The sequence below is a fragment of the Homo sapiens genome, chromosome 16, assembly GCF_000001405.40.
Source record: "Homo sapiens chromosome 16, GRCh38.p14 Primary Assembly".
Classification (NCBI taxonomy): domain Eukaryota; kingdom Metazoa; phylum Chordata; class Mammalia; order Primates; family Hominidae; genus Homo; species Homo sapiens.
Genome location: NC_000016.10, coordinates 90,102,554 through 90,127,614, shown reverse-complemented (window position 1 = coordinate 90,127,614; position 25,061 = coordinate 90,102,554). Strand labels below are relative to the sequence as shown.

General features: G+C 42.8%; 2 long non-coding RNA genes across 2 annotated transcripts in view; both read right to left on the bottom strand.

Annotated features, from left to right (window-relative positions):
* LOC105376781 (uncharacterized) overlaps positions 1-564 on the bottom strand; it is a 34,672-nt gene extending 34,108 nt beyond the window's left edge. The window contains exon 1 of the long non-coding RNA NR_170196.1: positions 444-564. This is a non-coding gene — a long non-coding RNA (uncharacterized LOC105376781). The remainder of the gene's footprint in view (positions 1-443) is intronic.
* Positions 1-25,061, bottom strand: part of FAM157C (family with sequence similarity 157 member C) — a 75,343-nt gene that overhangs the window by 49,992 nt on the left and 290 nt on the right. Inside the window, exons 2-3 of the long non-coding RNA NR_126161.1 lie at positions 20,910-21,456; positions 16,178-16,243 (exon numbers count right to left, since the gene is read on the bottom strand). This is a non-coding gene — a long non-coding RNA (family with sequence similarity 157 member C). The remainder of the gene's footprint in view (positions 1-16,177; positions 16,244-20,909; positions 21,457-25,061) is intronic.

The following is a 25,061-nucleotide window of genomic DNA, read 5'->3' as shown; positions in this document are numbered from 1 at the left end:
TCCAGCCTGGGTAGCAGAGCAAGACCCTGTCTCAAAAAAAAAAAAAAAAAAAAGAGAGAGAGAGAAAGAAAGAAAGAGGGCTACATTATTTATGAAACAGATACTGTTAACTCAGTCACCGGAAAGCCTGTGTATAAATGAGCAGTGAGATATTCAAGCACAGCACACACACACTTCTCAGGACAGCTGTCGTGAGTGTTCCATGCTCGTTTCCTTCTGGATACATCAGCAACTCACTCTGCTATGATCCTGCAATACATCTCATGTTAGAATTAGAGACATCTGGGCCAGGCACAGTGGCTGACGCCTGTAATCCTAACACTTTGGGAAGCCGAGGCAGGCACATCACCTAAGGTCAGGAGTTCGAGACCAGCCTGGCCAACATGGTGAAATGCTGTCTCTACCAAAAATACAAAAAATTAGCTGGGCATGGTGGCGCGCGCCTGTAATCCCAGCTACTCGGGAGCCTGAGGCAGGAGAATCGCTTGAACCCGGGAGGTGGAGGTTGCAGTGAGCCGAGATCGTGCCACTGCACTCCAGCATGGGGGACGGAGCAAGGCTCTGTCAAAAAAAAAAAACAGAAAAAGAAAAAGAAAAAAGAATTAGAGACATCTGGATCAAATCAGCTGCCAGTCTCGCAAAGTGTCGGGTAACATCCTATTAAGCTTGCTGCTTACACATCATCTATAAAATACTGAAAATATCATTTTAAGAAATCTTTTTTTTATTTTGAGACAGAGTTTTGCTCGTTGCCCAGGCTGGAGTGCAATGGTGCGATCTCAGCTCACTGCAATCTCTGCCCCCTGGGTTCAAGCAATTCTCCTTCCTCAGCCTCCTGAGTAGCTGGGATTACAGGCATGCACCACCACGCCTGGCTAATTTTGTATTTTCAGTTGAGACAGGGTTTCTCCATATTGGTCAGGCTGGTCTCGAACTCCTGACCTCAGGTGATCCACTGACCTTGGCCTCCCAAAGTGCTGGGATTACAGGTGTGAGCCACCATGCCTAGCCAAGAAACCCTTATTTTAAAACAAGCCAGGCGCGGTGGCTCATGCCTATAATCCCAGCACTTTGGGAAGCCAAGGCAGGTGGATCACTTGACGTCAGTAGTTTGAGACCAGCCCGGGCAACATGTTGTAACCCCATCTCTACTAAAAATATATTTTAAAAATTAGCTGGGCATGGTGGTGGGCACCTGTAATCCCAGCTTCTCAGGAGGCTGAGGCAGGAGAACCACTTGAACCTGGGAGGTGGTGGTTGCAGTGAGCGGAGATCACGCCACTGCACTCTAGCCTGGGTGACAATAGAAAGACTCCATCTCAAAAACAAAACAAAACAAAACAAAACAAAAAACCACTAAAAAAAAGACTCCATTTCAAAAACAAAACTAAAACCAAAAACACAACACAAATGTAGTACACAAATGAAAATAATTACTGTGTTAAACACAGTTTCATAGAAAATAAAAGACCAATCAAATACAATAAGCTGCCTTTTTAGATGGGTATGTTATTCTTCTTTCACAGCTAAAGAAACAGGCTCAGAGAATGTTATTTGATTGGACCGTGTTGCATTTCTGGACAGTGCAGCTGAGATCAGACTTTGTGTGTAACTCCACTAGCCTACCAGGGTGCCTCTCATAAAGGTAAGAAATGTAAATTTGGCCTAATATACAAAGTTGCCAGGGCAGCACTGGGTCAATTCTACATACAGTACTTCTATGTTCATCAAGGGAAACCTTAAGGGAAAGTGAAAATGCTTCTAGAAGGCGACTGGACACCAGCGCCTTTGCTTGTTGCCTTTGGGCTCTTCTTCTAAGGCCAACAGTGACCTGAAATTATTGACTGGCTTTTCCAATCAAGTGGACAAAATGGTACCAAGGTCACCAACATCGATGTAGAACATCGATGTTCTACAACATTGCTTAACGCAAGGGGAGACGCTCCTGACTCAGAGTGTTTAATTGCTCACCTACTTCTTTTTCTGCCCTCTTGGGCTTCTGAAATGAAAAGAACCCTGGGGTGATACAGTGAGTCAAAGGGGTGCCAGCCGCATCACAGCAAAATAGATTCCTAAAAAATCCCTGGCCTAAGATGACAGCCTTGGCTGGATCAGTTTGAATGTGCTGATAGTGGACATGGTAGAATGAAGGTGGTTGAAATGTTCATATTAAAGAACTTCCACCCAGATTGCAAGAAAAGAGAGAAGAATGGAGACGGCAGCACGAGCCCCTACAATAAAAGCAGATGTTTTGAGATCAGTTATATTTCTTCTGACAAAAATTAAAGACAGAAACCAAAGTTTAGCCTGAGACTACAATTAATTGGGCAATAAGCCAGAGGCACATATGGCATAAGACAGATTTAAACATTTCTCCCTGATATTAATACAAACACTAAAATTACAAATACTTTGATTCCAAATAAAACAAATATTTAAAAAATTTAATGAATAAACACTGGGGTCTACAGTAGTATTTGAAGATCTCACAAACAGGTTTGGTTTTTGAAGGTTAGAACTGGTGGTCTAGAGAATTCATTTCATTCCAGAGAAAGAAAGAGAGGAATTTCTTGGGTTCCTTCAGGAATGCGTCTAGCTTTGCCTCATCTTTGTTTGAACTATGGATACGGCAGAAGAAAACATGAGGATTTCACAGATTTAAGGTGCAAAAAGTCACTGGGTTCTCTAAGAAGTCTGGGATTCTTCTGCTGGAAAAATAAGTTTGTTGAGAAAAAATGAGTTGGAGGAGGCTGTTATTGAAGTGAAGCAGAATTGTTTTTACTAGTCTGCTTATTACCCACTCTGTAGTGTGGAAACAAATTATTCATGCACAAGGTCCTCTTACTGTTCCTAGAATGCAGTGGAAAGAGAACAGATTAGTTTTCCTCCCTCAGAACACAACCCCTAGAAACATCCTACCTCAGATGAGATATTGCCTAATTATTTTCAAAAGACAGTGAAACATCATGGATGTAAATGTTTGCTACAAAATAAATACATGCTAGAAACAGAAGCATCTGGGTCACAGCTATATTAGAGCTACCTGTGTTCCCCTGTCACTGACATTAAAACAAAAATGTCCAATACAATCATTCACAGCGTGGGAGAGGGGAAGTTGAAGGATGGAAAGGCCAGGCATAAAAGGATTTCAGAATTTCCGTCCATAAGGAAGTGGCTTTGTGCACTGTCTGTTACTGCGTGCAAGGTGAAATTTGAAGAATGAAAACGTGCAGTAACAAGGGCTCCTTTGTCCAACTCACCTCTCCAGATACCAACTTTCAGACATGTTGCATTTTAATTGAAAGGTTGATATAATTTTTTTTAAAGAACACTTGCGGTGTTTGAAGTGACAAAGGCTGCTGTGACAAAAAAGCAGGGAAAGGGAATTTTTTTTTAAAAGCAAACAACAACAACAGAAACCCCACAGAAAAGCAAACAACAAACAAACAAAAAACAGAGGAAGTAGTCGAACACCCTGGGCTGTGACTACTTCCAGGAAGGGGCTACAAGAGGCAGTTGGAAATTCTATTTGTTTTGCAACTGTGGGTTTTCCGGCCTGCTTCCTTTCTAAAGCATATTACTCTGCTTTTGGTTCATGAAGTTATCCATTTCTGTTTTCTGGAACAGCTATGTATTTTCTTTATCTATCATCTATCTATCTATTTACCATCTATCTTTTCTACCTTTCGCTATCAAGAGCTTGGGTCAAGCAGGATAGAATTCCAGTGTATGTTCACTCTACCATTTAAAACAAGAGCTCTTGTAGGCATTCTCCATCACATCATAAACCTGAGCTTTCTAAAACAGGGTGTGGCAAACTACCATGCATGGACCATGTCTGACACAGTCTGCATTTGTAAGTAAAGTTGTAATGGGACACAGCCAATACATGTGTTACATAATGTCTCTGGCTACTTTCATGGTATAATGGAAGAGCTGAGTCATTGAGAGAGAGACCATATGGCTTGGAAAACTTAAAATATTTAACATTTAGCCCCCTGCAGAAAATACTTGCTGACTCTTGTTTTAAAAGATCTCTGTTTAGAATGCTACCTATTGCGTTCTGGATAGAATCACAACTCTTTACCACAATCGACACAGCTTCAGCCCTGCTTCTATATCCAGCCTCATCTATTTCTGCTCCTCCTCCTTATTTTCCTTCTGGCCATGCTGATGGATTGTCAGCTTCCCAGATGTGCAAGAATCTCTCCTCCCTTCCCAACATTCTCATGCTCTCCCTCTGCCTCTGAAGAACTTCCTGCCCCATCTCTCATGACAAATCCTTTCTACATTCTTTAAGATGCAGCCCCTTTGCTCCTTCCTTAAGGATGTCTGTCTGGCTCTATTTTGGGTGACGTGCTCCTTCTGCATCTCCCAGAGCCAGCCTGTGTGTGTCAGCTACAACATTTCTTTGCATCTCTGTGTCATATATCACCAAATCTGCCTAAGCTTGCATGAGTCACTGCATGACAACTTCAGACTCCACCAGCATTGTCCCCACTAACCACAAGGCTTAGACATTCGTCCAGTATGCTCGGGGTTGTGGGGTGGTAGCAGTAACCGGCTGGTGACCATCATTTCTTACATCAGAATCAAATCTGTAGATCTCTGCCATTCATAAGTATTTGGAGTTTAAAATTAGCATAAAGATTTTCCTTAAAATAAGAACAAATGGCTTGAGTAGGCTTTTGGAACACAGGATGTTTCCACTGGTTCATTTCTGTGTTCAATATTCCCACATGAATCTAAACACGGCTCTGCTCTTAGTAGCTATGTGACCCTAGGAAAGTCACTCAATCTCCCTCAGCTAAATTTTGTTGTGTGAGTAATGAGGAGAGAGTTGTGATTTGTATTTAGTGAAAAATAACAAACAAAAGGCATTTAGATTTCTGGAACCTGGTATGTAGTAGAACCTCATGAAATACTAGCTCTGTTGAAAAAACTAGACTGAAAGAAGCTTACAAAGTCAACAAGAGTTTGAGGCAGTGAAGGACTTAGAGGAGGAGCTGCTGCTGCAGCCTGTAGCTCCTGGAAGCCCGTTTTGTCCATGATTTAGCAGGAATGCATTACCCTTCCATGAGGAGGCACTGCCCACAGAAACCAAGGCCATTCTTTGAAGACAAACATGTCTTAATAGCCTTTACATTATGTAATAGTGTAATACAAATAATAATTTATTATTAGTAATAATGTGAAATTATTTACAGTACCCTAACCCTAACCCTAACCCCTAATCCTAACCCTAACCCTAACCCCTAACCCTAATCCTAACCCTAACCCTAACCCTAACCCTAACCCCTAACCCCTAACCCTAACCCTAAAACCCTAACCCTAAAACCCTAACCATAACCCTTACCCTTACCCTGACCCTAACCCTAATCCTTACCCTTATCCTACCCCTAACCCTTAACCCCTAACCGCTAGCCCTAACCCTTAACCCTAACCATAACCCTAAAACGCTAACCCTCATCCTCACCCTCACACCTCACCCTCACCCAAACCATAATCCCTAACCCCTAACTCTTAACCCCTAACCCTAACCCTTGACCCTAACCCTTGACCCTAACCCCTGACCCTGACCCTTAACCCTAACCCTAACCCCTAACCCTTAACCCTTAAACCTTAACCCTCATCCTCACCCTCACCCTCACCCCTAACCCTAACCCCTAACCCCTAACCCAAACCCTAACCCTAAACCCTAACCCTAAACCCAACCCAAACCCTAACCTGAACCCTAACCCGAACCATAAACCTGAACCCTAAATCCGAACCTGAACCCGAACCCTAACCATAACCCAAACCCGAACCCAAACCCTAACCCCTAACCCCTAACCCTAACCCTACCCTAACCCAACCCTAACCCAACCCTAACTCTAGCCCTAGCCCTAGCCCTAGCCCTAAGCCCTAAGCCCTAAGCCTAACCCCAACCCCAACCCCAACCCTAACCCTAACCCTAACCCTTCCTCAGCCTCTCAACCTGCTTGGGTTATAGGTATGAGCCCGGGTGCCTGGCCAAACATTCCATTTTATATGTATATGCTAGGAATGGATAATCTCTACACCAAATTATGAAAATTCTACCTTAAACAATACCAATAGCAATATTATACTTAGGAATAAATGGAATGAAACGACAAGACTTAGATGAGGGAAATTATAAGACATTACTTAAGGAAATTAAACTTCCAGTAAATGTAAAAATGTATCTTATTTGTGGATTTGTAGACCACATTGTTAAGTTTCCCAAAGTACACAAAGCAATCCGTGGATTCGATGTTATTCCTACAAAAATCCCAAAGGCCTTGGGACAGAAGTGGATAAGCTGATCCTGATCACATCCCAATTTCAAATTTTATTACAAAGGAAGAGTAATAAAAACAGTGGGATCCTTGCACAGGAATAAACAGAAAGATCAACTGAATTGAATTGGGAGTCCAGACAGAAAACAATACCTCTATGCTCAACTGATTTTAGACAAGGTCCATTACCAGTAAATTGGGGAAAGAATCCTGTCCTCAACAAGTGATGTAAGGCAACTTGCTATCCACATAAAGGGAAATGAAATTGTATCCTTACCTCATACCACATAAAAAATTAACTTACAATGGATCAAAGACCAAAACAGGTGAAAACTAAAAACTCTGGAAGAAAACGTACAGTTAAGCATTCATGACCTTACACGTAGCAATAGTTTCCTACATCTGACACCAAAAGCACAGACCACAAAAGGAAAAATAAATCAATTTATTTCCTCAAAATTCACAACTTTTACGTCTCAGAAGACATGAAGAAAAAAGTTGAAAGACAAAATGTTATAATAGGAAAAACAACTGTCTTATAGTATACTCTCAACACTCAACACAGAACACTTCTGTTACCAGATACATGGGTTTTTTCCCCACACAGACCAAATCTTGGGTACCAGCTGCGTGTCCTACAGTGCAATCCAATTGTGACAGTAAATGGAGAAAGCATCAGACCCCACAGGCTAAGGGCTCAGTCCTAGGAATACACGTCATGCCCCTTGTCGCTTGCAAATTTAAATGACAAACACAAGGATGGTAAAAAGAAAGTGACTTTATGCCAGAGCTTAGCTGAAGGGAACATACAGGCTCTTGCCTTAAGGGAAGCGCTTCCACTTTCTGGGCAGAAAGCTGGGCTTTCGGACTTGCCAGAATGGCATGCAGGGGATGAGGTGAGGAGGTGCGGGGTCTATGGGACATGCTCTGATGTTTTCTCCATTAGGTGGTCTTGCTAGCACCACCACGGGCAGAGCCAGGTTGTAAACTGACTGTTGTCTGCTGCCAATCTACTGGTGGGGGAGAGATATGGAAGTGCCAGTTTGTTTCAAGGTTTGGTCCCTGGAACTTATAAGTAATCACACAGTTGGAAAAGTTTGCAGTATAGGAAGTGTCTGGTGGAGAGACAGTAAAGCTTATAATTGCATTCCTAAAGAGCTAAGTGCAGGAACAGCAAAATGGTAAAACTAATTCATTTCTTCTTTAAGAAAATATGGGTACTAAGTTACAAGACTGTAACCACTTAAGATGCCAACCACAAACAGTAGGTTCCCAGGTTACCTTCTGTCTGACTTTCCTACAGATTGGAGACTCCCACAACACCCTTATTGGGTTCAGCAATTTGCTACATCACATTACACAACCCATGAAAGCAGTGTACTTACTATTCCTGACTCATTACCAAGGATCTTTTAAACACTACAAATGAAAAGCCAGATGAAGAGATGCACAAGGTGAGGTATATGGAAGGAATGCAGGCCTCCCATGCCCTCGCCAGATATGATCCTCCCAGTATCTCTTGTGTTGGGAGAGCAACACAGATGCTCTCCCAACCCTGTCCTTTATTACACAGGCAGATTGGTTACGTCTGTGGCCATAGGTGATCAACTCAACCATCAGCACCTCTCCCCTTCACAGAGACGGGACGGGGGAAGAAATTTCAAATTCTCTCATGACAAGGTTGCTTCCCTTGGCAGCCAGCCCCACTGAGGCTGTCCAGGTGCCCCCAGCCATCAATCATTTCATTAGCGTACGAAAGACACATTACTTCGTACATTCCCAAGGCTTAGCGCTCTGTTTCAGGACACTGCAGCAGAGACCACACATTAACTCTTATTACGTTCCAACAACCTATAAAATGGAAGAAAATGTCTGCACATTAGATACTTCATCAGTGTCTGTTATCCAGAATGTATAAAGAACTTTTACAACTCCATAGCAAAGACAACCCAATCTAAAAATTGACAAAAGACACACTTCACCAACAAGCACATGAAAAGATGCTTAACATCATTACCATAATTAAAACCATAAAGAGATAACCCTTAACTCACACAAGAATAGTTATACTAAAAAATAACAAGTGTTGACAAAGATGTGCAGAAACTTGAACTCTTAAACACTGCTTGTGACAATATGAAATGGTGCAGCCTACGTGTAAAATAATTTGATGTTTCCTCATAAAGTTACAAATAGATTTACCATATGAGTTAATGATTCCATTCCTAGGTATATACCCCAAAGACCTGAAAACAACTGTTCAAACAAAAACCTGTATGCTCTTTAAATGTGTCAAGGTCATAAATATGCAGGAAAGTCTGGGGAACAGTTCCAGGAAAAGAAAACTGGATCCTAATAAAAAAAAAAAAAAAAACATTATACTCCCAAGTGTGGCATGAGGTAAAACTGAAGTGAGTTTGTGGACCGAATTATCATGTAGGAACAACGCTGATTTCCTGATCTAGGGGTTATGTGGTAGTTACCTGGGAGAGTGTCCATGCTTTCAGTACAATATACCGGAGTATTTTGTGGGACACTGCAAATCTGGTACAGCAATAACTGTTGGGGAATCTAAGGGAAGAAACAAGCTGTACTTTGTACTACTACTGGAAGTTGCCTAGACATATGACATTATTGGAAAATAAGTTACTTTTTAAAACAACCATGTCAATACCATGCCAGGAAAGCAGACACATCATCAAAATCCATTACAGAGGCTATAGTTCAGCCAAAGCTGTAAAACCCTTAACAAAGTCTCAATGTCAACAGAGTCCACTTAGTAGATATTATTATATTTATTAGTATTAGAGGCCACTGTGTCAATATATTAGTGTTAGGGCATGGTATGGATATTTAGATTAGTGTTAGGGAACGGTGTGGATATTGTATTGGTGTTGGGGAATGGTGCAGATATTACATCAGTGTTAGGGCATGGTGTGGATATTATTGCATTAGTATTAGAAGAGATGGTGTGGATTAGATCAGTGATAGGGCATGGTGTGGATATTATTACATTAGTATTGGAAGCGATGGTGTGGACTAGATCAGTGATAGGGCATGGTGTGGATATTATTACATTAGTATTGGAAGCGATGGTGTGGATTAGATCAGTGATAGGGCATGGTGTGGATATTATTACATTGGTATTGGAAGCTATGGTGTGGACTAGATCAGTGATAGGGCATGGTGTGGATATTATTACATTAGCACTGGAAGCGATGGTGTGGATTAGATCAGTGATAGGGCATGGTGTGGATATTATTACATTAGTATTGGAAGCGATGGTGTGGATTAGATCAGTGATAGGGCATGGTGTGGATATTATTACATTAGTACTGGAAGCGATGGTGTGGACTAGATCAGTGATAGGGCATGGTGTGGATATTATCACATTAGTATTGGAAGCGATGGTGTGGACTAGATCAGTGATAGGGCATGGTGTGCATATTATTACATTAGTATTGGAAGCGATGGTGTGGATTACATCAGTGATAGGGCATGGTGTGGATATTATTACATTAGCATTGGAAGCGATGGTGTGGACTAGATCAGTGATAGGGCATGGTGTGGATATTATTACATTAGTATTGGAAGCGATGGTGTGGATTAGATCAGTGATAGGGCATGGTGTGGATATTATTACATTAGTACTGGAAGCGATGGTGTGGACTAGATCAGTGATACGGCATGCTGTGGATATTATCACATTAGTATTGGAAGCGATGGTGTGGACTAGATCAGTGATAGGGCATGGTGTGCATATTATTACATTAGTATTGGAAGCGATGGTGTGGATTACATCAGTGATAGGGCATGGTGTGGATATTATTACATTAGCATTGGAAGCGATGGTGTGGACTAGATCAGTGATAGGGCATGGTGTGGATATTACTACATTAGTATTGGAAGTGATGTTGTGTATTAGATCAGTGATACGGCATGGTGTGGATATTATTACATTAGTATTGGAAGCGATGGTGTGGACTAGATCAGTGATAGGGCATGGTGTGGATATTATTACATTAGTATTGGAAGCGATGGTGTGGACTAGATCAGTGATAGGGCATGGTGTGGATATTATTACATTAGTATTGGAAGTGATGGTGTGTATTAGATCAGTGATAGGGCATGGTGTGGATATTATTACATTAGTATTGGAAGCGATGGTGTGGATTAGATCAGTGATAGGGCATGGTGTGGATATTATTACATTAGTATTGGAAGCGATGGTGTGGACTAGATCAGTGATAGGGCATGGTGTGGATATTATTACATTAGTATTGGAAGCGATGTTGTCAACTAGATCAGTGATAGGGCATGGTGTGGATATTATTACATTAGTATTGGAAGCGATGGTGTGGATTAGATCAGTGATAGGGCATGGTGTGGATATTATTACATTAGTATTGGAAGCGATGGTGTGGACTAGATCAGTGATAGGGCATGGTGTGGATATTATTACATTAGTATTGGAAGCGATGGTGTGGACTAGATCAGTGATAGGGCATGGTGTGGATATTATTACATTAGTATTGGAAGCGATGTTGTGGATTACATCAGTGTTAGCGCATGGTGTGAATATTATATAGGTGTTAGGGCACGGTGTAGATATCATAGTAATGTAGAGCACAGTGTGATTATTATATTAGAGGCCACTGTAAGAATATATATTAGCAGCCACTGTGTCTTGGACGTTGACAATGATATTAGGGTGTACTCCAAATAGTGAGATTTGGGGGCTTTATTTTTCTAGATGAATTTCTTCCTCTGCTGAGTGCTCTAAAGACTCACTCCTTGGCACTCAGGGCCGTGGACAGGAGCTTTTTACTCACCAATGAAGAACACCAAATTAACACGACCCCCGTGCTGCCCTGAGGAAGTTGAAGCTCCTCGCTGCTTCTGGCACTTCAGCGGGAAGTTGGTTGGGGCGGGATCGCGCGCCCTCTGGTGGCGCCATGGTTCAGCACAGACGCTCTTGCTCACAGTTTCGCGGCGGATGTGCGCCCCCTCCTGGCTGTCCTGAAATACCTATAAAATTCAATATTCAGTTTATTCAGTGTCATAATTTTGGAAATTCAAACCGAAATAAAGGCCAGTATATCCATACCCTTCCCATAAATGGTGATGGAAGAATTATTTGGAAGCCATATAGAATGAAATGACTCTATACACAAAGTAAAACACAAAAACCTACTCAAAATAGTCCAGAGACTACAACTTCAAATGCAAAACTATAAATAATCTAAAAGAAAACCTAAGAGACATTGGATCTGGTGTTGAGTTTTAACACACAGCATCAAGTGCCAATTCGTGAAAATACTGAGAACAGACTTTATAAAACTAAATTTTCTACTATGAAAAACCCTATTCAGAGAACAAAAAGACAAGACACACTGTCAGAAGATATTTACAAAATACAAACGTGATTTTAAAAACTGTATTGAAAATACACAAAGAACTCTTCAAAGGAACACTAAGAAAACTAAAAACCCAAATAAAACTGGGTAAATATCTGAACAGACATCCAGCCAAAGAAAATATATAGATAGCAGGCCAGGTGTGGTGGCTCATGCCTATAACCCCAGCACTTTGGGAGGCTGAAGCGGGTGAGTCACCTGAGGTCAGGAATTTGAGATCAGCCTGGCCAACATAGTGATACCCCCTCTCTACTAAAAATACAAAAAAATTAGCCAGGCATGGTGGTGGGTGCCTGTAATCCCAGCTACTTGGGAGGCTGATGCAAGAGAATTGCTTGAACATCGGAGGTGGAGGTTGCAGTGACCCAAGATCACGCCACTGCACTCCAGCCTGAGTGACAGAACGAGACTCTATCTCAATAAAATAAAAAAAAAAAGAAAATATACTGATAGCACATAATCACACAAAAGGATGCTCAATATATCTCATTAGGAGACTGCAAATTAAAATAATGCTGAGATATCACTGCACACCTAGTACAACTGTGGGACTCTTAAAAAAGCTCAACAGTAACAATTGGAGGTTGAAGAACAATAGGTACGGCCATTCATTACTGGCAGAATGCATGAATGGGTACAGCCACTTTGGGAAATAGTTTGACAGTTTTTCCCAAAGATAAACAAGTCTTACCTTACAATCCAACAAATGCACCCCTAAATTGTGTATGTTTAGACAGCTGCTTTGAAAAATTATGTTCAAACAAAAACTAGCATGTAATTATATACGAGCCACTCTACTCATCATGGCCAAAACTTGAAGTAGTCAGAACGTTCTTCAATAGCTGAATGCATAATCAATTTGAAGTACAACCATGCAATGGAATACCATTCACCAACAGAAAGGAATGAACTGTCAATCCATGAAAACAAATGAATGAATCTTGCATCTATGTTGCTAAGTAAAGGGTGGCAGTATGAAGATGCTATACATTATATGACTCCATTCATATAACATTCTGGAAAAAGCACAACCAAAGAGATGATAGTCAGATCAGTGACTGTCTGGGGTGGGGATTTGAAGTATTCTGTATGCTACTTCAGTAGTGGATATCTGACACTATGCATTTGATAAAACCCACAGAATTTTAATGCACAAAGAACAAATCACAAGCTACACAAATTAAATTATTTAGGATGTGGAAGTATCTAAGGACAAAATACAGAGTGCAACCAAGAATCTAACTGTATTACCAATGTATGTTGCAAGTGGTGGGCCAAAGGTGCTGAGCTGGAAATGAGTAGAATCCATAGACTAAAAACAAAACGTACTATATACACGAACAGTGGACTCTATTTTATAAAGTTATTTCCCATAGGGATAATAGTTAATTTTGAAACTACTATATCTGTAAAAAGAAAAATAACCATGATTTTCCTCTATACTATCAACACTCCACTTTTAACAGCAAATTGTGGGGGGTGGGGGGTGTTTCCCATACCAACCAATATTCCAACTCTCTGGAAAACAATTGGGTATCCTGTAATTCAACTGTGACACTGATTACCTGGAGTTAGTATACACCCTACAGGTTAACGGCTTAGTAACACCAGACTGTCCACAACCTCAGATGCCAATCACAAGTTGTGAATCCCCAGTTTACCCAAACTTCTATATGACTTGGCTAGAAACTAGGCATTCCTACACCCCCTCTTCAGGTTTGACAATTTGCTATGATGGCTTATGGAACTAGGAAATACTTACTTATGTTTACTAGTTATTATGGTCTCAATGTGTGTACACCCCCACCCCAAATTCCTATTTTGAAATGTAATCCCCAAAGGGATGGTATTCAGAGGTAACCGAGAGGTGATCGGATCATGAGAGTGCTGTCCTCATGAATGAAACCAGTGCCCTTATAAAAGCATCTAGGAGCCCGTTTCCCCATTCTGCCATGTCACGACATGCTAGAAGGCACTATCTATGATAGATGAGCCCTCACTAGACATCAAATCTGTCAGCCTTGATCTGGAACTTTCCAAATTCCATATTTTAGGAATTTTTATGGAAGCTTCATCATGTAGACATGACGGATTATTAACTCAATTTCCAGTCCCTTCACACCCTCAAAGGATTGCATGTTAAGCTAAAAGTTACAACCTTCTTATCATGGCTTGGTCTTTCTGGTGACCATCCCCATCCTGAAACCATCCAGGAACCCACAGAGTGTCCTTATTAGAACAGAAGCCATTCCTATTATCCAGGAGATTCCAAGAGATTTAGGAACTCTGCGTCAGGAACCAGGGCCAAAGACCAAATATTAGAACACAAGATGCTCCTAGCACCCCTACTGTTCAGGAAATTATAATAGTTTTAGAAGCTCTGTACCAGGAACTGCAGACACAGACCAAACATATATTTCTTATTAAGTCCCAACCTGGAATCTTGATCAAGAATGAATTCCTTGTTCCCAATGGTACAAGGGATGAAATAAATGGCAGATAGTAGGAGCCAGGTTCCTCATTATTACAGCGAGAAGTTACAGATAAAAAATAGGGAAGCCTAGAATGATCTCTGTCATAATGAGTCAGAATATATATATACAACGTAAGTATAAACTCACATTTAGCTTAACATATACATAGATGGTTCCACATAGAAACCTTTATAATTAAGTGGGTACATATAAGTTAGAAGACACACATATATTTCTTTGCACTGTCAGCTGTAAGTGTCATGATGCAATGACCACATTTAGTGGCCAGATGTAAGTTTTTCATACCATTCTCTAACAAAAGAAATCAGGGCTATTAGAAGAAATAGCTGAAACTAGGACTGGGACAGAAAATATATGAGCCAGGGTACTTTTGAAGTAACAGAAATAAATTATAAAAAAAACATGAAATTATGTAAAAGGAGCCAGTGGAAAGAGCTACCAATGGCCACAGGTATGAACAAAGAGCAACAAAATACTGTACAATTAGATAACAACCAAAAGATTAAAGTAACTATCTGTGGACCCATACTGGTATAAATAAATGATTAAACAGATATGCAAATGGGCTGAATAGAAATCTCTTATACAGAAGAATTCCAAATACCTGATACAGACAGCCATCAAGGAGGTGGGGCTAACTCCCCACTCCTTTAAGTATGAGCTCTGCCTGATGACTTCCTCCAAAAGCATACATACAATATAGACATGGGAAAAAAGTAACTTTACAGTGAAAAACCTGAAAACACTGCCTCAACCAAGTGATAAAAGTTAACATTAATGGTGATAACACATCTTGAGAGCATGAAGTGACTAGACTAGCACTTGCAAACCAAAAATAAAATTCAAAGATCTTTCCCCCAACCACCTCTCCACCAGGGGACACCAAAGTTAACCTGGAAGACTGGTTCAGGCTATGATGGGAAAGAGGTGGTCAGACATGCCTCATTATGCCCTCCTCCCTTTTGGAATTCAGGAAAAGCCAATCAGCATTTAACATCAACACAACCTTAAATCTGATAAGAAACATTTACAATCTATTCTCTCTGAAGCCTGCTACCTGGAAGCTTCATTTCCATGATAAAACCTTGGTCTCCATAACCCCTTATCATAACCCAGACACTCCTTTCTATTGATAGTAAGTCTTTCAACAAACTGCCAATCAGAAAAATTTTAAATGTACCTATAACCTGGAAGCCCCCCCCCCACCCTAATCCATTGGGTTGTCCCACCTTCCTGGACCGAACCAATATATATCTTAAATACACTTGATTGATGTCTCCTATCTCCCTAAAATGTATAGAACCAACCTGCACCCCAACGACCTTGGGCACATGTTCTCAGGGTCTCCTGAGGGCTGTGTCAAGGGCCATGGTCACTCATATTTGGCTCAGAATACATCTCTTAAAATATTTTACAGTCTTTGACTCTTTTTGTGGACACACTACACATCTGCTCTGCTTCCCCCAAACCCCTAAACCCAGGCTGATTATGAGAAAAACCCCAAGTAAACCACAATGGAGGACATTCTACACAATACCTGACCAATCCTCCTAACACTGTTCCAGGTCCTCAGAAGTAAAGTCTGAGAGATTGTCACAGCCAAGAAGAGCCTGACATGATGACTAAATGTCCTATGGGATCCTAGATAGGATCCTGGGAGAGAAAAAGGCAGAACTAAGGGAAACCAAATAAGATGTGAGCTTATTTAATAATATAGTAATATCCAGTCATTAAGTATGACAAGAAATGATGTAAGATGTTGGTCAGGAGTGGTGGCTCATGCCTGTAATCCCAGCACTTTGGGAGGCTGAGGCAGGCGGATCACCTGAGATCAGGAGTTCAAGACCAGCCTGGCCAACGTGGTGAAACCTCATCTCTACTAAAAATACAAAAATTAGCCGGGCATGATGGCAGGCACCTGTAATACCAGCTACTCAGGAGGCTGAGGCAGGAGAATCGCTTGAACCTGGGAGGCGGAGGTTGCAGTGAGCCGAGATCACGCCACTGCACTCCAGCCTGGTTGAGACTCTGTCTGAAAAAAAAAAAAAAAAAAAAAAGATGTTAAACCTATCTGATACATGTTGGTATGTTAAAAAGCGGGGAAACTAGGTTGCGTCTACATGGGAAATCTGCATTTTCTTCCCAATTTCTGTATGAATCTAAAACTAATTTAAAATAAAACCTCTATTTAAAAATTGTAATTTTTTCAGATATCTGCTAAATTATTTGTACTAAAAATTAGTAATTGACAGTAACTACTCCTACTTTTAAAAATAAGAGCATTCATGATACTGCAAAGTAAATTATACAGACTAATATATACTTTCAAAGAAATGCCCCTTTTACATGTTTTATGTTAAGATAACATATATGTGTAAACATGGTCATATCATTTTCCTTATGGTGTAGTTCACTCTCTAAGAAAGCTGGTCATCTTAGAACCAGGGAAAAAAATTCACATTTTGGAGACTATTTCAATTTACGGCTGGACGTTTTCAAAGTATGACTTTGCGAAAAAAAAAAAAAAGTTCAAATTGATTCATTGTGACTGGATCACTTATTCTAATGAATGCTTGCCTTTATTTTGTTTCCCAGCATTCCTTTCAGCTACGATACAAAAGAAGCAAATATTTGCCACTGGAAAAAATATTCAAAGACACTCTTAGGTTAATCTATAGCTGATGACAGTCAGTCTAGTCTACATAGCAAGCAGCTTCAAGATATGATTACTTAGCTAAGCGGGAAATGGGACGTGACTGCTGCCTCATTCCCACGCCTCTCTGGACCTGATAATTTAGAGGAAGCTCACATTCGCAAGATAAAAATTTTCTTTTCCTTCTCAGTATTAAATATGCTGTCACAATAGAAGAAAGCTTTACTGACTTCTTAAATGACGTGTTGAGACCGGAACCCTAAAATGATAGTTACTGAGGATAGTGCTAATGCCCTAAGACCGGAAACCTAAAATGATAGTTACTGAGAATAGTGCTAATGCCCTAAGACCGGAAACCTAAAATGATAGTTACTGAGAATAGTGCTAATGCCCTAAGACCGGAACCCTAAAATGATAGTTACTGAGAATACTGCTAATGCCCTAAGGTTTTAGTCACACCCTCACCTAGGCAGGAACCCAACCAAAAGGGGAGAACTGTGGAACAAACTACGGGAGGTCATTGTTTCGGTCACCACTCCCGCATTAGGCCACACTGAGCAGGCAAAACCAGAATGGAGACACTCACGCTGAATGACACACAACGAAGCTGAAACTTTAAGGAAGTAGACAGATCCCAAAAGATCTCCCTTTTTCCCTGAAGAGATTCCAGTCTACCTGAGTCAGCATAAAGAAGTCCCCTCTGCTTTAATTCTTACCAAAACAAGTAACTTGAAGTAATCTGATGTTAACAAATCAGTTGTTATTTTCTATTGCTCTATTTCCGCCTTACACAACACAGTGTTCTGCTATTGCCCAGAGGGCACTGAGACCAAATAAAACTTGAAAATGCCACACTGAAAGCAAATAAGTACTAATAACTCAATTTACAACGATAACAAAGAGTGATACCAATGCCCAAAGTTTTGATCAATATCTCAAAATTGAGAGGCTGACCAAAAGGGAGGAATTCTTACATCAAACAACATTTGGGCTCTAGAAGCCTCCCAAGGAGTCCTTGTAAAGAGTCGCGGCCGGGCGCCGTGGCTCACGCCTGTAATCCCGGCACTTTGGGAGGCCGAGACGGGTGGATCATGAGGTCAGGAAATCGAGACCATCATGGCTTACAAGGTGAAACCCAGTCTCTACTAAAAAAAAATACAAAAAAATTAGCCGGACTTGGTGGCGGCAGCCTGCAGTCCCAGCTACTCGGGAGGCCGGGACAGGAGAATGGCATGAACCCGGGAGGCGGAGCTTGCTGTGAGCTGAGATCGCGCCACTGCACTCCAGCCTGGGCGACAGAGCGAGACTCCGCCTCAAAAAAGAAAAAAGAAGAAGAACAAGAAGAATCGCAACCTAATTTAGTATAGAAACAAACTGTAAATCTGACTTGGGAATGTATCATGGTAACAAATAGCGGCGGTTCAGCCAATCACATCAGCCGAGTGTCAGTCAATGGCCGGCAGCCAGCTGTTCAAAACAAGTTCCAAGAAGGCAAATCCGGGCTGTAACCAGGTCTGTAACCAATCCAGCCACCTCTATACCTCACTTCTGTTTTCTGTATGTCACTTTTTTTCTCTGGCTATAAATATAACCCGCACATGTTGTGTGGCAGATCATTCTGAACCATTTTTGGTCTGGACTGCTGCCTGATTCTAGAACCACAAAAAAAGCCAATTAAGATCTGCAAACCCACATTTGTTGTAATTTTGTATTTTAACAGTTGTGCCCTACAAAAGACATTAAGCTGAAATTAATTAAAAATCATTTACGGTCATGATTAGGTCATAAAAAATTGTCAAACATAACAATTCTTCAAAAAAAGCTAAAAAGTATATTTTAAAAACATTGTTGATGGAAAAAAGAGTGCAAAAGTAGATAGGAAAATTATGTACAAAACTAAAAACAGAGGAGAAATTAAAAGTCAAATAATTGCATCAAACTGGAAACCTAGAAAAAATGGGTGATTTCCTAGTAAAAATACACATTAACAAAATGGGCACTGAAATAAGGCAACTATGAATATACCAATTAGCATAGAAAAGCTAAGAAAGGTCCTTAAAGATCTCCCAGTGGAAAAAGGCCCCAGGACCATCTGGGTCCATAGCTTAGTGTAAGCTGACTTAACTAAATGTGATTTTACACTCGTGCATTGCATACATACGATGGTGGTCCCATGAGATAAAAATGGAGCTGAAAAATTCCTTCCTAGCCATCTTGTCATAAGCTCATGGCTCAACGCATTACCTTTTCTCTGTTCTGATACCATGAAAGGAAAATAAATCTCAGGACCCCCAAATCACTAAGCCAAGGGAAAAGTCAAGCTGGGAGCTATGTCAGGCAAACCTGCCCTCATTCTATTCCTAAGATAGCTACAAAGATAAAAAGCTACATACCTCACTCACAATTTGCCCACAAAGAATTTCCTTTTGGACAAAGGACAGACAGCACTCAAAGTCATCCCTCACCTGAGACAGATGCATATCTGATTGCTTCCTCTGCCCTATTATTTATGTAAAAATGCAGATTCATTGAGCCAGACTAAATTGTGTATTCAGTGGAAGGCTGATGAAGGATTCAAAAGAATGCAACCTTTTGTCTCTAACCTACTTCTGACCTGGAAGCACCCCCACTTCCTGCTTACAGTTGTCCTGCCTTACGGGGCCAAATGACTGTACATCTTACACGTCTCATGTATCCCTAAAATGTACAAAAGCAAGCTCTACCCTGGCCACCTTGGACACACGTCGTCAGGACCTCCTGAGGCTGTGTCATGGGCGTGTCCTTAATCTTGGCAAAATAAGCTTTCTAAATTGACTGAGACCTGTCTCAGATATTCTGGGATCACAATCTACAATCACCATGGTGTTATGGTTGACTACAGCATTCAGTACAGAGACATGCTGTACAGGTTCGTAGCCTGGGAGCAATAGGCTATACTATGTAACTTAGGTGTGGAGTGGGCTACACCATCTAAGTTTTATAAGGACACTCTACAGTGTTCACACAAAGATGAAATCACCTAAGGACAGATTTCTCAGAAAGTATAACATCGTTACGAGATGCCTGAGTGTATTTTAAATGGTCAAAGCCTAGGAGAAAAAAAGAAACTTAACTCTTGTTATGGGTTAATAACAAAGCTTAAGAGAGTTAACATATTTCATCTAATCTAAGATGCCAATGATTAAAAGACATTACTTTATGCACCATCACAAATAGGTTGCCAATTAAACCGACTTTCTGAATAACACACAAATGTGAATTTACTTCTATTAATGCCAGGAAAGTAAAATGAAAAATAAATTATGGTTTTGACATGTTAAAGCAAATACGGCGGGGGTTAGCCTGAGGCCTTCCCTAAGCAAACAGAAACCGAACTTGGAGGCATTTGAACTGACTTAAAAAAATTAACAAACCAACCACAGTCAATGCCAAAAAGCCCAGCAGCCAGTTGGCTGTATGACTAGGGACGCTGAGGGAACCATCCCCACAACAGGCGGTGGCCTAGCTGGAGCCACTGAGGAGCCTCACTTAGGGGCCACCCTAAGAGCTCGAAGCCCCAAGCCGATTTCCGTTCTGGTGCTTCCCGCGTGATTCATGAACCATTCCTTTGCCGAAATAAAGTCCGCTTAAATTTATTTTACCTAAAATCCTTTTAACAGACAAAATCCAGTATTTACACTTAAAACACGGTTGTGAAAACTCACATCTACATCTGCTCTTCAATATTTTTCAAGTACTTTAACACTCTAAGAAAAACGAGCCACTGGAACGCAAATAAAAGCAAGTCGTGGGGTGCGCGTCTCCCTGGGGCTCTCCATGTTGCCCTCAGGGTTTCTCCCTTCTCTGTCCCGGATCCACCCCAAACAAACCCAAATTGGTCAAAAATTAAAAAATGAAACAACTCAGGTATGCTGCAATAATGAATAGCAAAGCCACTTAATGACGGGCCACTTTGTCAAATAAAATAAATACAACTTGAGAAAGTGGAGCGCGAGGCAGCGCGGCCTCCTCAGCACTGAGCCGGGACAGAAAGCTTTTTCCTCACCTTTCCTCGGGCAGCCTCGGGGACCATGAAGCCACAGCTTCCCCAGTCGTTCCTGAGGAGCTGAGGAGAAGGAGGCTGGGTCGTCCCTGGCCACGGTCCCCAGGTGTTCCTAGAGAGCCAGCGGCGTCTCCCGAGTAGGTCCTGAGGAGGAGGAGGCTGGGCCCTCTCAGGTGTCCCTGTAGGGATGACGGCGCCTCCTGCGTAGGTCCTGAGGAGACGGCTCGGTTCCGCCCCCTGGAGCCGCAGGCCGTCTGTGCCGGAACCCGGGCGCCTCTTGAGGTTCTGTGAGGCGGCATCGCGCCCCCTGACGGCCGTCGCAGGCGGTGCAGGATGCTCAGGTGCTCGCGGTCGAGCTGTGGCCTCGCCCCTCCGGTGGATCTCCGAAGTTCACTGTTCGGACAGTTACACGCCATGACTTTTGAAAAACCAGCTGAAGCCGGGCGCGGTGGCTCACGCCTGTAATCCCAGCACTTTGGGAGGCCGAGGCGGGCGGATCGCGAGGTCAGGAGATCGAGACCATCCTGGCTAACACGGTGAAACCCCGTCTCTACAAAAAAAAAAAAAAAAAAAAATTAGCCGGGAGTGGTGGCGGGCGCCTATAGTTCCAGCTACTCGGGACGCTGAGGCAGGAGAATCGCTTGAACCCGGGAGGGGGAGGTTTCAGGGAGCCTCCTCTAAACAGAAAAGACTGACCCCCAGTCAGTGTTTTATTTTCCCTGATGACCGCAGGCCATGAACTTATGGAACAATAAGGTAATTAGGCTCTTGGATCCAGGGAAGTAGCTCCATGCCACCTGCCCTCATTTGCTGAGCATTTTGGTTTCTCGGATCTGCTACTCAGTTTCCAGTCTCTTCCTCCCTGCCAATGCTGCCAGCGTGCCTCTTCTGCAAGCAGCAACCGCCTTCCACCTTCCATTCTCTCCTCTTTAGCCATCATCTGGCTGGACTTTTCAGAATGGACTGCAAAGGAGAATAAACTGGCTGAGTCTGAGGGTGCACTCACGTGCAAAGTTGCAAGCTTTAATGTACCCATCTTGGCAGATTTTGGCTCCTTAGAGTTCTTTCGCATTTGGGGATCTCATGTGCCCTCTGATGAGGTGGGCTCACTGACTGTCTGTGCTGGTGGCATCTGGCAGCACCTTGTCACGTGCACCTAGGTAAGAACCTGGCTGCACCTGATGCTTAGCCAAATGGGGAGCCCACAGTTCTGTGTATCAGGTGATGTTTAATCTCTGGAGGTTAATGAACGTGAGGGAGCGATACTGTCTGGGACTGTCCACATATTGCGTCTGAGTCACTGAAGGAAAAGAATGTGGGGTCTGTTTGCTGGGATTGGACACCTCCATAATCACATGCTCCATGAAATGCAGGCAGGAGATCTCGCTTTCTACCTCTGGGATGGGAGTGTGCAGTTTCAGAATGAGACTAGCCCACACAACTGACTCTTTATTTGGGAAAGAGAAATGAAATCAGATGCAGCAATTTAATATCCACTAAGATGATATCTTAATCACAAACACTCTTCTGGTTTTTAGAAATGTGAATGTTATTTACACTAGGTTAAAAAAACCTGAATATCCAACAGCATGACACTGACTAAAGAAATACTGGCGCACTCTGGAACCTTGCACACCACTTATTGGCATGGGAACAATGGGAACACGCCTATACAAAGATGTGCATGGAAATTAGAAGAATGCAACACTGTAGAACAGATGTGACTAGGTGCATGATCAAGAGCACACAAGACCAAGCCTGCCTCTGCACACACAAGACCGCGCCTGAGTCTGCACCACGTGACGGGACCACTGTGGAGCAAGCCTGGGAGATTCTGATGTAGGCAGCAGAGGCGTCACTTAGGGACCAGACTTCCGTGGGAAACCACCATCTCCTTCCAACCCAGATGCACTTCGTGGGAAACGCGAGCAGATGAAGGTCATGTAGGAGACGAAAGAACTCGCTCCCCAAGCCTGTAGGCCTTTGTCCTCCACCCATGGACCGAAGCATCTTGTTAGATGAGGGCCGCCCGCAGCCAGGGCTGGCGGAGAACCTGCCAACGAGCAGGTGTCCGTAAAGAACTGCTGACTGTCACTGTCCCTACTTGGGGGCCACTGGGGGATCTGATGCATCTCACTACCCTTTGTAAAGGAATTATTGAAAATGTCAGCCCTCTAACAAGGCATAGGTTGATTAGTTACAGGATTTAACATTTCTATTTTAAAAGGCAGCATTGAAGAATGTCTTTACAAAGGCTGTACAAAACCTGCCATATTCTTTGTCACACAGATTGACTCATGTGCAATGCAGCCATTTGATGAAACACTGGCATTTACCAGATGTAAACTTATTAGCAGACGACAACTAGAAATAGTGTGCTGGATGTGCCCGTTTATTTATATGAATATAACCATCTCTCTAGATGCATCGAAAGATACACAACATGAGATCCACTTTATTTCTACAAGTTTATGATCAGGTGGTCAGGACAGGGAAAGAAGAGGAAAAAACTTTAAATCATGGACCTTTATTCTTAGACACCTTTATCCTACATACACAAGGTACATGCATGGTTGAAATAACGGAAACAAGGTGGATAAAAGTGAAAGTAACTTAAACTGCTTTACCCAGGAATGCCCAATTCAGATGCTGCAGAGAAGAGCATGAGAACCGGGTGTCTTCAGGACAGGTGTGCATCTGGGAGCAGAGTGGGCATTCATCAGCAGGGAGGAGCAAGGCCTGGGTCGGGGGACACTGGGGCTGCTGTCCCAGAGGTTGGCAGTGTAGCCCTGAATCCCCAAGACTTCACTCAGTCTCCCCTCAACCACCTAAACCAGAATAAACTGATGTAGCAGGACTCCTCAAACACTGTGCAGGGTCTCCATGTCCTCGATGGCCCCTGATGAGCCACAGTACCCTCAGGTCCTAGTGAAGGAGCTGGTGCTGCCTCCTGCCTTTCCCCACATGGGGTCCTGCAGCTCATCCCACACAGCCTCAGATTCCCTCTACAGAACCTGCCCACAGATGTCTTCTGAGACCAGCAATACTGGGAGGCCTGTGGCCCAGACCCAGGAGGAACCAGCTGAGAGGCTCCGTGGAGGTATCGCTGATGGTGTAACCAGAATGAAAATGCCCACTTCTGTTCTGCTCCCTGAGAACAACTGTCAAGCCAGCATGAGTTTCCAGTTGGAACTTTTCCTTTTCTCCCCATGTTTGTCACTGTTTTAATGGACATCGCCTGGCTATTAAATCCCCCGATGAACTCACTTTGAAAATTATCTATTGCACTGGGCACCCTTTCAGGAATCACTGAGTGTTAATTTTCTCAGTCTGAGTGATAATTTATGAGTCAAACAAGGACAGATCTGAAGCCAGAGGCTGCTCCTGTTGGGAAATCCCTGAGGATGATGTTCCAGGGAAGCCTCCAGCCTTGGGAGTCCCGTGGAACTGAGCCAGCCCAGGTCATGAAGGGAGCTGGTGCCAGACACTGACTGGGGACCTGCTGGCCTCTGGGCAGACCGCTCTGTCGCTGCACTTGGCCTGCTGGGTATCCCTGTGCAGTCATACCAAGTCCTGTGCTCAGAAGGGCCCCAGAGTAGTTTAAAGTTCTGCTGCCGCCCCTGGAAGCTCATGATTTTGAACAACAACAACAACAAAAAACCCACGTTTTCCACTCGGCCCCACACATTATGTGGCCTGCGCAGCTGTCAGGCTGTGGCCACAGTGCTGGCATCTCTCACACAATGAAGGCTGCTGGAGTCCTGGCTGACTTGTTTTGACTCTTTTGTGAGGCCCACACCTAAGCTAAACACTCACGTGCCCCCACGCTGACTCCCCACACTCTAAAGCATGAATCTGCCCCTTCAGCTGGGAGAGGGTCCTCGTGTCATCTGGGTTTTTGGAGAGAAGGTCAAGGGAGCCTGGGTTCTAGTTCTTCAGTAATCAAGAGCAATGGTCTTACCTGTTCACAGGTCCCTGTGGCTGCTTTACAGAAAGCAGGAAGTGGCCACTTCAGCCACACGGCTGCATTTCCAGCTCAGTCCAGGCAGAGCTGCACCCTGCCTTGCACCTCTGCAGATCCTGAGGGGAGTCCTTAACTGAGCCAGGGCGAGTCCTGGGGGCACTCTGCCCCTGGGCAGGCCCTGAATCTCCTCT